Source organism: Homo sapiens, chromosome 4, assembly GCF_000001405.40.
Source record: "Homo sapiens chromosome 4, GRCh38.p14 Primary Assembly".
Taxonomy (NCBI): domain Eukaryota; kingdom Metazoa; phylum Chordata; class Mammalia; order Primates; family Hominidae; genus Homo; species Homo sapiens.
The window spans coordinates 169,551,033-169,565,879 of NC_000004.12; the positions used below are offsets into that span (position 1 = coordinate 169,551,033).

The window sequence follows — 14,847 nt, forward strand, 5'->3', positions numbered from 1 at the left end:
ACTTAGAACAGGTCCTTGCACAAGTGCCCAATTAAATATTAGTTGCTACCTTTTACTTATAGGAATCTAGTTTGTCATTACCCTATTGTTTAAACAGTGCAGAATACAGTGAAAACTTCATCTCCTATGCTACTTTGATTTTAAACTTTTTATTACAAAAAAAACTTCTTTAGCTCCTAAGAAGTTATTAATACTGGCCCAGGGGCAATAAAACAGGCACTATCATACACTGTTGGGTTAAGTACAAACTGGCACTTTTCTAGAAAAAAACTTAGTAATATTTCTTTCAAGAATCTTCATCAGGAACATAGATGACCAAATCTTTTAGCAAAATAATTGCCCTTACAAGATTATATTTCAAGGCAATAATAAAAAATGAAGAATAAAATGTGGCAGAAAAATGTTCAAAAAGGTGAAGGATTACAAACAACTGGTTATACTAGGGGATTTGTTAGATAAATCATAGCACATTCAGGCACTGGAATCTTATGTAGATATTAAAAAATTGAAAACAACATGGGAAATATGTATGGTAAGAACACTAAATTTAAAAAGATAAAAATTTGTATGTATGATTTTGTTTCCACTATCTTGGGAAAAAGAAAAGGAAAAGGTATGCAAGAAAATTAACCAAAGTCTTCATCAGCAGTGACCACCACTATAGGGATTTGGAATTATTTTCTTTCCTGTTTCCTAACACTCTCCTCCTATACACTCCAATTTTTCTAAAACTAACCTACATCACTTAGCAAGCAGTAAAACAAGAAAAAAAAAAGCCTCTTGTGATTTTTCTTCAGGTTTTCTTTTTTACTGAGCAAAAAGGAGAGAAAAAGGAGGTATGAACAGGTGACTGAGAACCCTGTATGAAAGGACAATAATAAGGTAGTTAGCTGTTGGTATTTTTAAAACAGAAATACGTGAAAATTCTTGAATATTCAGCAAAAGAAAGAGTATTAAAAAGAATGTAAGAATGAGAGGAAGGAAAAAAAGATTAAATGCCTTTCAGTAAAGCAAAACACTGAAGAACAAAGACAATAGTTTAAATTTGGAGTAGTGAAAGTTGTTGCTCCATGTCAGTGAAAAGATTACAGTGTGTATGTAAATCTAAGACAATGAGTATTATTAAGAAAGAGATCACGAGAAAATTATACACATAGTAATTAAATCATTTCCTTATAAGTGATTACCAGCTATGAAAGGAAAGGGCATTTTTATTCTTATAGCAAAATATAATAAAATACAGCTGTTTCAACATCTGAAGATCAATTAATGTAATCCATCACATCAATAAGCTAAAGAAGAAAAATCACATGATCATATCTATACATGCCAAAAAAAAAAAAGCATTTGACAAAATCCAGCACCCATTTCTGATTTTAAAAAATCTCAGAAAACCTAAATTAGAGAGGAACTTCCACAATTTCATAAAGAACATCTCCAAAAAACCTACAGCTAACATATTTAATGGAAACTTGAAGCTTTCCGGCCAACATCAGGAACAAGACAAAGATGTCCTTCTCAACATTACTTTTCAACATCATATTGGAAGTTCTAGCTAATGCAATAAGACAAGGAAAGAAAACACAAGGTATACAGACTGGGAAGGAAGAAATATAACTGTCTTTGTTTGCAGATGACATGATTGTCTATGTAGAAAATTCAAAAGAAACACCAAAACCCCTCTCAAAAAAAGTGATGATAGCAAAGTTGCAGGATAGAAGGTTAATAAACAAAAGTCAATTGCTTTCCTATATATAAACAAGGAACAAGTAGAATTTGAAATTAAAAACACATTATCACTTTCATTAGCACCCCCCAACATGTAATACATAGGTTACAAATCTAAAAAAATATGCACGGGTATGAGGAAAACTAAAAAATTCTGATGAAATACATCAAAGATATATTTCAGGTCTAACATGAAGTATTGGAAGATTGAATATCGTCAAGATGTCAGTTCTTCCCAAGCTGATCTACAGATTCAACACAATCCCAATCAAAATCCCAGCATGTTAGTCTTTAGATATGGACAAACTTATTATAAAGCTTATATGGAAAGACAAAAGAACCGGAATAGCCAACTCAGTATTGAAGAACAAAGCTGGATGACTGAAAATACCTGATTTCAAGACTTAATCAGTAGAACAGAACAGAGAGCACAGAAATAGACTGACATAAAAATCCTTTGTCAACCAATCACTGACAAAGGAGCAAAGGCAATTCAAAGAAACAAATATAGTCTTTTCAAGAGATGTGGAACAACTGGGCATCCACATGCAAAAAAATGAATCTAGACACAGACCTTATATCCTTCACAAAAATTAACTCAAATGGATCACAGATCTAAAGATAAAACATTAAACTATAAAACTCCTAGAAGATAACATAGGAGAAAACCCAAATGAACTTGGGTATGGTGATAACTTTTCAGTTATAACACCAGAGACACAATCCATGAAAGAAACAATTGATATGCTGGACTTCATTACAACAAAAAAGTTCCACTCTGCAAAACAAAATATTAAGGGAATGAGAAGATGAGCCACAAAGAAAAAGAAAATATCTGCCAAAGACATACCTGATAAAGGACTGTTAAATAAAATATACAAAGAACTTTTAAAACTCAACAATATAAAAATGAATTTTAAAATGGGCAAAAGGCCTGAACAGACAACTCATCAAGAAAGATATACAGATGGCATGAAGCATATGAAAAAATGTTGAATATGTCATTAGGGAATTGTAATTAAAATGAGATACCACTACACACTGATTAAATTGGCCAAAATCCGAAACACTGACAACACTAAATGCTGGAGAGGATGTGGGGCAACAGGAATTCTTAATCACTGCTGGCAGGAACGCATAATGGTATAGCCACTTTGGAAGACAGCTTGGTGACTTCTTACAAAATCAAACATACTCTTAAGACATGATCCAGCAATCATCCTCTTGGCATCTGTTTAAATACTTAAAAAATTTATGTCCACAAAAAAACCTACACACAAATGTTTGTAGAAGCTTTATTCATAATTGCCATAACTTAAAAGCAACCAAGATGTCCTTCAGTAGAATAATGGATAAAGTGTAGTACATCCATTCTGGCTGGGCATGGTGGCTCATGCTTGTAATCCCAGCACTTTGGGAGGCCAGTGCAGGAGGACTGCTTGAACCCAGGAGTTCAAGACCAGCCTGGGCAACATAGCAAGACTCCATTCTACAAAAAATTTAAAAAATCAGCCACACATGGTGGCAAGCACCTGTAGTCCCAGCTGTTCAGGAGGCTGAGGTGGGAGGGTCACTTAAGCCCCAGAGGTCAAGGCTGCAAGTGAGCCATGATCATGCCATTGCACTCCAGCCTGGGGATAGAACAAGAACCTGTCTCAAAAAAAAAAATTACCAAAAAAAAAAAAAAAAAGTATGCTACATAAATACAATGGGATATTAGTGTTAAGAAGAAATAAGGTATGAAACTATGAAGATATACGGAGGCACCTTAAATGCATATTAGTAAGTGAGAAAAGCCAGTGTGAAAGGCCACATACTATATGATTCCAAGTATATGATATTCTAGAAAAGCTAAAACTATGAAGGCAGTAAAGCAACCAGTGGTTGCCAAGAGTTGGGAGGGAGGTTGGAGGGAGGTGGAGCACAGGGGATTTTGAAGGCAGTCACATTATTTTGTATGATATTACAGTGGTGGATACCTATAATTATACATTCGTCAAAAGCCATGGAGTGTACAATACCAAGAGTAAACTCTAATGTAAACTATGGACTTTGGGTGATAATGGATCGATGTTTGATCATAACAAACGTTATCACTCAAATGAGGATGTCAATACAGAGGTTGTGCATGTGTGAGGAAGGGGTACATAGGAACTCTCTGTACTTTCCACTCCATTTTGCTGTGAACCCCAAATCGCTCTAAAAATAAAGTTTACTAATTAAACAATATATATACTAGAAAGATCAATAATTCTGGAGAATAAAAGCCTCCCACAAAATTTGTCTCACTATTCATAAAAAATATGCATATGTGTAAGTCTGTAACCTTCCTTTCTCAAAAAATAGATGCTTCATATATCAGGCTTCTGTATATAATTTATAATGTGTATATAAACGTTAATTTATATTTACCTCAATCATTTATCTCTGCTCAAGTACATATTAATCAGTTACCATTATTAATTCAATGGAAGAAAAGAAATAATATGATGAACAGGATCACAAAGAGTTATAAATCAGAGATGAAGGTGAAGAGAAAGCATGCTAAGACAACAAAGAGAAAAGTAGGCTTTGAAGTGATGAAGAAAAGGGCGAAAAATGCACTGGGGTTCTGCATAAAGTGTGATTCAATTTAGATTTATATCCTGATTTATTTAAAGGAAGTGGGTGATAAAATGTTATAATTATGTTGGCAGAATGTTATCACATGTTCCTTTAAATAGTATATTCAGTCTAAACCCACAAACAAGACACAAAAATCAGGCTGAACTGGAAAGCTACATGCTTTCAGAGTAATCAAGGGCCAAATTTGCACCTCAGAAAATTATTGTACCCAAGAGGCAAAAAACATCATATGTGAACAATGGAGAAAACATCCACAAAGTGTAGGTACTAAGCTATGTATGACAAACGACAAAATTACACACATGGATGAATTCATGGATCATCACAGTCCAACCTGTTTGCATTGGCTTGTTTAGACACCGCCTTCAATCTTTTCAAAGTTTTTCTAATATCATCAGCATCAGGAAAATGGTGATGACCTGCAGCCCCATAAGGAAATCCTGGACGAACTCCAGGCAGAATTCCTCTGTAGATAAATATGCACAGTGACTTTCATTACTATCTCAGAAGCAAAGCATAAGCAACTTCTGCAGAACATAGCCATACCTTTCTGGAAGACCTCGACCATATATTTCTCTTTTCCATTTAGCTTCATTATCTTCTGCTCTTTGTTGCTGCATTTGGTCAAAAATGGCATGGTAATGTTCATACTGTCCTCGAGAAGAAAAAGATGATGGAGCTATAGTCCCTCCACTGCCCAGAAAAGGAGCCTAGGGATTAAACAAAGAGCTCTCACATGTTTATCTTATAAGGCCTAACAGGCCTGTACTAGTCTCAAAAGAAAAAGTAAATTTCAATGCTTCACTTTTAAAAAGTAATTACTTAATATGAACATACTAACAAACATAAAGCCTAAAGCAAAATGTTTTCCTATTATAACTATTAACAACCAAAAAGCAGTATACTTTGTAATTGATAATAAAGCATAATGTGACAAACAAAAACAGCAAAATGACACTAATTTCATGTAAATATGGAAAAATTTGATCTTAATTAACAGGTTTTGAAACAAGCTTCCAATATACATTTCATGTAATTCTGTTCCGTTGTTTATGTATAGCTTATGAGAGCCTCCTTTTATATAACACTCAGAATTATATTTAACAAAAACATCTGCATATGGCTTTTAATATACCCCAAATCTTTAAATTCACCAAGCAGATATGAAGGTATAAACATTATTAAAACATGTTCTATATGTATATAAAAGAGGCAAAAAGTCATATCTATCTTTAGTTTCCAAGTAAGTTGGGAAAAATAGCACAAAACTAGAAAAACATTCAATTCTATGGTAAACAAGTGACAACAGAGAAATTCCAAAGTAGTAAGTGCTGAGCAAATCCACAAAACAGTAAAAAAAAAAAAAAAAATCAACAGTAAAATCCTTATTTAGAAAAAAGGCCTTGGGGAGAGATATTGTTTAATCTGGTCTTGATAGCAATGTAAGGAGAGTAAATATGAGCCAAGGCATTAAAGTAAAAATAATCAATGTATGTATATATTTAGGTATGGAAGGTGGAAGAGGAAGGAAGTATGATGACAAATACAAGGAAGGCAAAGTATTAAGTATTAAGTTTGGCTATAAAAGCTTGGTATAGCTAAATGCTAAATGCTATCTGCCCTTGGTGTTTGCGTTCAAATAATAAATAACAATAGAAAGGATTTATAAAGTTTCTAGCAGCAGTAGTATATCAACAGAGTTTTAAAGGTCAGTAAGTCAATATTATGCATGGTAAGCAGAAATAAGAAAGTAAGGCAGAGGAATTAATTAGAAGGATGTTGCTGCCCTGACACCAAGCCAAGAAGCCTGGAAAGCCAAGAAAGGCAATCAATGAAAAAGTAACTGCTGAAGGAAGTTTGGATTCTCTGCAGGAATGACAAAGGATAAAGGCAAAGACTTAAAGACTCAACCACCGAGACATAAGAACTCAACCACATGGAAAACTCATAGTAAAAAATAGAGATGTCAGAAAAGGATAAGGGTAAAAGTAAATAAAAACTGTATAATGCTACAGAAGTCATGGTGAAAGAATTTCATTAAGAAGAAATCAATAACCTCAAATGCAAAGGTCAACTTATTTTAACTTTTCTTATCTGAGAATAAGACCACCAGATATGACTAAGGCTGAGTGGAAGCCTTTAAAAAAACCATTTTCTGAGTGTGTGAAGTGATGAGAACAGAAGCCACAATAATGAGAGTAAAAAAGGGAAAACTTCCAGGTGATAACATCTTAAGGAAAATGCCTGGTTAAAAAAAGAAACAAAGGCCAGGCATGGTGGCACATGCCTGTAATCCCAGCACTTTGGGAGGCTGAGGTGGGCAGATTGCTTGAGCTCAGGAGTTCGAGACTAGCCTGGGCAAATTGGCGAAACAACATCCCTGCAAATACAAAAAATTAGCCGGGCGCAGTGGCATGTGTCTGTAGTCCCAGCTACTCAGGAGGCTGAGATGGGAAGATTGCTTGAACTCAGGAGGTCAAGGCTACAGTGAGTCATGATCCCACCACTGCAATCTAGCTTGGGTGACAGAGTGAGATCCTGTCTCAAAAAATAAGTAAATAAATAAAATAATAATAAAAGAAACAAAGAAAAATGTCAGAATCCAATAAAAGAAACTTCAGTGTAACCCAATAAGACAAAATTTGTCTTCCATCAAGGTGGTCCTTACATACATCCTCAAAATGTACATCTGAAGTCAAGAATCAGAATTCAGTTATAAGGTGGTCATATTTCCTATGAAACTGGTTACTCTTTGAATTTAGCCCAATGCTAATATCATCTTAACTTGACTGAGTGCTCCATTTCTCTTTAGCAAAAACAAAAGTAGGTAAACATCTCAGAAGATGCTCATACTCAAAATAATGTTGAAAATACTATATGAGAATACTGATGAAATATGTTTGTTTGAGACATAATTTATGTACAATAAAAATTCACCAATTGTAAGCACAGGCTGAATTCTGACAAATGTAGACACTCACATAACCACTACTACAATCAAAAGCATATCCATTACCCCAGAAAGTTCCCTTGTGTTCCTTTGCAGTAAATGCTCGCACTGTCAGCAACCACTGATCTGCTTTCCGTCACTACAGGTTGGATTTGCCTTTCCCATTATGTCATGTAAATAAAATCATAAATATGTACTCTTTTATCTGGTTTCTTTCACTCACAGGTTTTTAAGATTGATCCATGGTGTTGCATGTATAAACAGGCTATTCTTTTTACTGCCAAATGGTATTCCAATATATTTTCAAACAAGAGATACACCTCTTCCATATTATAATCACCATATAACCATACATGTGGAATATATAATTTTTCTAAAAACACATTCATAAAAGACACATTAAAAATGGATAAAACAAAGAAGGTCCAGATTTTGCAGATACTAAATAATCAAAAACATTTACATTGGATATTTATACTATGAATAAAAATGCCTCTTATTTAGAAGTACGTAATAATAGTATTAATTTTGAAATACTTTAGTTTTAGTTTTATCTTTCTTTTGGGGAATCTCCTTAATTTGATTCATATGATACTGAGCCTCCAGGTCCTTATCAACTATGTAGAAATCAAACAGCCTAACAAGTTAAAATATTTCAAATTCAATGAGGAATAAATATAGAAACTAACATAGAATTTCCTTTAAATCATGGAAAATAAATTGTTTTATTAATCTTCAATGAAAGCATTACAGAAGTTTATAAAGTGATGCAGAAATCTATTCAGTACACAGTATGTAACTTGAAAATTGTCTCAGTTATTAAACATTAATAAAACTGATTAATACTGTATTAGACATCATAGGAAAAAGCACTTTATTACACAAAAGGGAGAAGAATAAATCATCAAAACTTCAGTGCTAATCACGGACTTGATAAAAAAATGCTTGAGATCTGAAGGAGTACAAGTTGATAAGCTTTCTCTTTCCAATCAGGTAAGATGTGAGGTTAGTTATTTTAGAATGGACCAGATTCTAAGTCATTCCTGATCATTCAGGAGGTAATAAGTTCTACTTAAAGGTAAGATAAAATTATACTACTAAAAACACTGTATAATCTATATTAATACAAATTTGGAAAAAGTTACTCTTAATGAATTATTACTATGATATGAAGAACTTCTGCACCTCAAGAGACTGAAAAACAAATCTATAAATCCAGGGCAGAATGTATATGTCTAGATAAAACAAACTTTTATTCAAATTATAACTTTTGGAGAAAAAAAACCAAGAATTATAATTGATCCAATTTGACAAGTATCTATTGTACATCTAAATATCAAGATTAATGGGTGTACATGAGTGAAACTTATAGTTTGAAGATGTATTGACTTAGGCTGGGCACGGTGACTCACGCCTGTAATCCCAGCACTTTGGGAGGCCGAGGCAGGCAGGTCACCTGAGGTCGGGAGTTCGAGACCAGCCTGACCAACATGCAGAAACCCCGTCTCTACTAAAAATACAAAATTAGCTGGGCGTGGTGGTGCATGCCTGTAATCCCAGCTACTCCGGAGGCTGAGGCAGGAGAATCGCTTGAACCCGGGAGGCAGAGGTTGCAGTGAGCTGAGATCGTGCCATTGCACTCCAGCCTGGGTAACAAGAGCGAAACTCCATCTCAAAAAAATAAAAAGATGTATTGACTTACAGTTTATTCAATGATACAAATTAGTGCATTCATCTTCTATTGCTGTATAACAAACTATCACAAATTTAGTAGCTTAAAACAATATCTATTTATAATCTCAGTTCCCCTGGCTCAGGAATCTGGGTGCATTTAGCTGGGTCCCCTCCTCAGGATCTCACCAGGCAGAAATCAAGGTGTCAGCCAGGGTTACAATTCTCACCTGAGACTCAGGATCTCTTCCAAGTTTACTGGTTCTTGGCAGAATTAATTTCCTTGTGGCTGTATGACTAGGACCACAATTTTCTTGCTAGTTGCTCATTAGAGACCACTACTTGTAGAGGTCATCTCTACTGTTTTGCCACATGAATGTTTACTATCTTCCAGGTGAGCAGAATTCTCTCTCTCTAATTTCTTTTCCCCTTCCAGTCAGCTATGAAGGAGTCTTATATGTTAACGTAACCCTGGGAGAGACCATCCCATCACCACTTGCCATATAACATAACCTAATCAAGTGAGCTGCTATACTACAGTATTTACAGGTACCACTTATACTCAAGGGAATGGAATAACACAAGGTGTGTATACCGCAGTTGAGAATCTTGGAGACCATCTTAGAATTCTACCAACTACAAATAGAGATATGTATAGGATGCTGTATGAATAAAAGAGGAAGTATAAGATTCAGACTGGCAGAACAAAGAAAGGAAAGGGAAATTACTATAGAAGCCCTTGCCAGACAGGTTCCAGGCACTGTTCTTGGAAAAAAAACTTTTTTTTTTTTTTAAATCAAGAAACCAAAGCTCAGAAAAGTTCAGTAATGTGCCCAAGGTTAAATAGGGTGGATCTACCCAGAAGGAATGTTTAGATTAACTCATCTATGTAACTGGTTATTTAGCTAAATGGATGGAGGTGGGACGTGAGGGTGAGGAGGGATGGAGAGTGCTATTAAGTAAAAGGAAACACAAGTGCAAAGACAAAGAGATTTGGCAAACCACATATAGTAATGAAACTACAAATATAGTCTTCATTTCAGCATGAATAGAGCATACAGTATGTGGTAGGGAATGGATGGTGATGAAGTTGGAGAGACAACAGGGATCAGATTAAGAAGCATCTTCTGAGAACTTAATCTTCAAGGCTACATGAAATTACAGAACGATTTTAGGCTGCAGTGTCATGAATTGTACATAATTTTTAAAAATTCCTGACAGGAATAATGTTATCATAGTCTTCACAAAAAACTTTTAAAGCAATTTTGAGTATAGTCACATAACAGCAACACAAGTTACATATCAGATACATGCAGGAAAGCTAAGTATTCATAATAAATGTTAAAGAATTCTAGGTAAAAATTAATTGTACACTAAAGAAAGAAAGAAAATCCCAAGTACATGCATTTTATAGAACAAGGTGGAACTGGAGGGGAAAATGGTAGTATAACCATATTGGTATAAAATGCCTACCTTTACTTCACCACTTCCACCAGCACTTAGCACATTTCTCCATCCTTGTTCCCTGGCCCTATTTATTCTTTCCAACTTTGGGGAAAAGAAATAAACAAAACACCATTTCAAGTATTTAATATAAAATACACGTAATACATTTAGCAATAAACTGAAAATCAGTGTATTCCTTAAGAAAAAAGTATATTTAATAGATTATCCTCTTACCCTTTCCTTTTCTTGCCTTTTCATTTGTTCAGCCTTCATTAAACTAATAATCTGTAACAATTTTAAAGACAAGCTTCTTACAACTCTTGAACCTATTATCACTTAACAACTTGCCAAAGGTAGAAAAACAAGAGCAAAAAACTACCTGATCCTTTTGTTTCTTTTCTTTTTCAATAAATTCCAGCCTTCTCTTTCTTGCTGCTTCCTTAAATAAAAAAAAGAACATTTTAATCCATAATAATTCCTGTTTTTTCTAGTTTCATCAGGAAAGTTAGTACACCAATGGCAGAGGTATGTTCAATGAGGTTTTTTTTTTAAAAAAAAAAAGAAGTTATAGGTATTCGTTTGAAAGAAATAAGGAAAGGTTTGGAGGCTTTATAGTAAGATTTTGTTTCTTTTTTAAAATTATGTTTGCAAAGCTTTAAAATAACCAGACAGATGTCTTTATACCTCAGATATTTTCCTCCTTTCTTCTCCAGTATTCACTCTCTTCTCTGGAGTTTGATGGGCCTGGACAAAAAGTAAAACTACAAATTAAATAAAGATTTTGAGGCACTTATTTGAAAATCCCAAATTTACAGAAATTTAAGATAAGAAAAAGGTAAAGTCAATACTTCCATAACTCTCTTCCAAATTACATTATCTTAAAAAAAAAAATCGTAGTCTTTGATATGCTGTTAAACAAAGAGAAACATTAGATTCAAAGAAACTGTGGAAAAGGGTCCTTCCCCAATCATCAACTAAACAGTTTTGTGTTCAGGTATGGATGTTTAAGTTTTCCAATATTATCATAGACTATCATTTGAAAAGCCCAATGATGGAGATAATTTTTTTAAAAAAATTAGTGACACAATATATATTCAGTATATAAAATTCAAACAAGATTAAAAATTTAGGGTCTATTTTGCTCTCCACCTCCAGAGTAACGGTAACCACTGTTAATATTTTCATTAGTGTCCTTCAGAGATTATTTTTGTACTTATATATACAGTTCAACTATATACATACAACAATTTTAGCTATGATTTTTACATACATGTAATATTAATGTGTTAATAAAATGACTTTAATTTTTAAAATTTCAATAGCTTTAGGGGTACAAGTGGTTTTTGGTTACATGGATGAAATGCATAATGGTATATATTAGATATTTACATTTCTTCTTTTATATACTGTTTACCTAACTTTGGGGTTGTTAATGGACTCATACAATATATATTCTTTTGTATCTTGCTTTTGCTCAACACTGTTTTCAAGGTTCATTCATGTTATTATTTATATCTGCATCTGTTTTCTTCATGGATATATAGCATTCTATTAATTTTGATTCCTTTCTTTCACAATTATCTTATACTTTACTCATTAGGTCTATTCTAAAGTATTTGGGGGCGGGACTGATGTGGTAGCTCACACCTGTAATCCTAGCACTTTGGGAGGCCAAGATAGGAGGACTGCTTGAGCCTAGGAGTTTGAGACCAGCCTGGATAACATAGTGAGTCCCCATCTCTACAAAAAATTTTTAAAAATTAGCCAGGCATGTGGCCCACACCTGTTGTCCCAGCTACTCAGGAGGCTGAGGTGGAAGGATCTCTTGAGCCCAGGAGGTAGAGGCTACCATGAGCCATGATCACATCACTATACTCCAGCCTGACAGAGCGAGATCCTGTCTCAAAAAAAAAAATAAAAATAAAAAAATCAAGTATCTGGGGGGTTTGTGGGTAATTCTTTCCATTTATTTTCTAATCATTTATTTTTTACATGTTGCCCTTCCATCAGGCCACTTTATTTAATTTATTAATAGTTTAATGCTGCTTCACCACGATTTTCTAGGTAGGTAATCATATCAAATGTAAATACGATATGTCTATGTTTTCTCTCCTCTTCCAATATTTACATTTCTTTCCTTTTAATTGCTCTAGCTAGAACCTCTGGCATAATTTAACGATGGCAATGACAGCAAATCCCTCTGTCTTGTTCCTGACTTTAATGATAATGCTTCCAATGTTTCATCATTATGTACAAAGCCTGCCATAGGTTTCAGGTGTGTATACATACTGTATTAGAACTTACCTTCTGTTTCTTGAATCAAACTTTTAAAAACAAAAGTTAGTGTTAAGTTTCACCGAATTTTCAGCATCTACTGAGATGATTTTTATATGGTTTTCTTCTCTAATCTGCTAATGCAGTAAAATTACAGTAACTGGTTTTCTACTGTTGAAACGTCCCTGTATTGCTGTAATAAATCCTATTTGATAATTATTACATTATTTTTTGATAAAATGCCTGATTTTCCCCTTTTTAAGTCCTTTTCTTTTTTCCAGGATTTCTGCATATGTTCTTACAAGTGATCTACAGTTTTGTTTTACCCTGTGTTAACTACACAATTTTGTAATCAAGGTTAAGCCTAATGTATGATCAATTTTTCAAACAATTCTAACTACAATTCTATATACCAAAAAAGATAAAAATTTATAGAAAAGTTTAAGTTATTCTATCATGTACCAGTGTTTACATTTTTCAGCCACCTTAAAAAAAGATTTAAAAAGCATACTGTACAATTTTTCACCTACACTGGATTTCAATACAAAGGAAAGCAGACATTACTTAAAAAAATTACTTGGGAAAAATATTTTGATGGTCATTTACATTATTAGTAAAATAATCCAGCATTTGATTATATCATTAAAAGTTGTCTCTACTAACAATTCCATTTTAACAGCAGCTATATTTTAACATAAGTCATTGATATAAAATTAGTTTTATATATTATCCTGTGCTTCAGTTTTCTAAATTATGTAGAATGACCATAACAGATAGGCACTAAAATTCTAACCCTGAAAAGCAAATTCAAAATATTACAAAATAAACATGACCCTCACATCATTTTTGAAATAAATGTGTCACCATATATTAAAAAATTAGAAAGGCATACAAAAATTTACTTTCACTGAAAACAATTCAAGAGGATAACATTTCTGCTTTAGAAAGCAATGGTATAATTTAAACTGCATATTTCTTTCTAATGAAACACAACTATTTTACTTCAATGAATATATTATTGAGTATGAGACCAGGAAAATGCTGATATCTAAAATATGTAATACCACCCAATGGGTTAATAAACTTATAAATGATAATAATGAGTCTTTTGTAATGTGCTTTGGCATTTTAATTAAATGATCATAAGCCAATTTTATTGGTATGTTTTAACTCAAGGCTATAGCAACAAAGTGATAAGCGGTACTAAATCTCACACCTGATTCCACTCTTATGACTAACTAAAGAATGCATTTACTCTCTGACAAAATAACCCAAGCAGTGGGTTCTTAGAACTATCCCACACCCTCACTGTATTATTAGTTCCTAACTCCTAACCTCTAATTTTGGCTAGTTATTTCAATTCAACTCTTACTTAAGCTAACCATTTACGTTACCACTTTACCTCAGAAAAGACATTAGAGTTGATGAGATAAAAACAATACTGAAATATTTAAAGAACATTAGCTTTCAAACTTTTTCTAAAGGCGACCCACAATAAGAAATATATTTCCCATCTGGACTCAGGAAGATACATACACACCCCTAAGTTTCATAAAATATCTTCACTATATGTATAGCAGACCCTGCTACTTTCTATCACTTGAAACAAACAAACAAAAAATTCCCTGCTCTTTGCCCACTACAATGTTTTTGCCACCACTAATGGATAGCAACCCCTTGTTTTAAAATAATTATGAGAGATCTCTGGGGGCACTATTGTTGAAGAACAAGAAATAAAAATTGTAGATAATGCTCCTCATAGTATCATTACAAAAACACAGTTAACATTTCAAGGTATGTTCTATGTATACAGAATTTAAACAGTGGGGAACATTACCCAGAAGCTTTGTAAAAATACATATTCCTTCTATACAAACGAATATTTGGCAACAAAAAGAAAATGAAGTACTGATACATGCTACAACATAGATCAACTGTGAAAACATTATGCTGAGTTAAAGCAGCCAGTCACAAAAGACCACATACTATATGATTCCATTTATATAAAATGTTCAGATTAAGCAAATCTGTATAGAAACAGAAAGTAGATTAGAGGCTGCCTAGGGCTGCGGGGTTGGGGGAAGAATGGGGAGTGGCTGCTAATGGAAAAAGGATTTCCCTTGGGGTGATAAAAATGTTCTAAAATTGACTGT

The 14,847-nt window shown here is 33.6% G+C and overlaps 1 protein-coding gene across 27 annotated transcripts in view; it reads right to left on the bottom strand.

The window, feature by feature from the left end:
• Window positions 1-14,847, bottom strand: part of NEK1 (NIMA related kinase 1) — a 219,775-nt gene that overhangs the window by 158,224 nt on the left and 46,704 nt on the right. For 12 of the 27 annotated variants that reach the window (NM_001440624.1, NM_001440621.1, NM_001374419.1 and 9 more), the window contains 6 exons: window positions 11,105-11,164; window positions 10,800-10,859; window positions 10,655-10,705; window positions 10,448-10,522; window positions 4,900-5,063; window positions 4,688-4,819 (listed from right to left, as the gene is read on the bottom strand). In NM_001440624.1, coding sequence (NP_001427553.1) covers window positions 4,688-4,819; window positions 4,900-5,063; window positions 10,448-10,522; window positions 10,655-10,705; window positions 10,800-10,859; window positions 11,105-11,164 — 542 coding nt within the window. Of the gene's footprint in view, window positions 1-4,655; window positions 4,820-4,899; window positions 5,064-7,526; window positions 7,677-7,998; window positions 10,123-10,447; window positions 10,523-10,654; window positions 10,706-10,799; window positions 10,860-11,104; window positions 11,165-14,847 lie in introns of those variants that run through there. The other 15 variants (NM_001440625.1, NM_001440623.1, XM_011532004.2 and 12 more) reach the window with 7 other exon arrangements.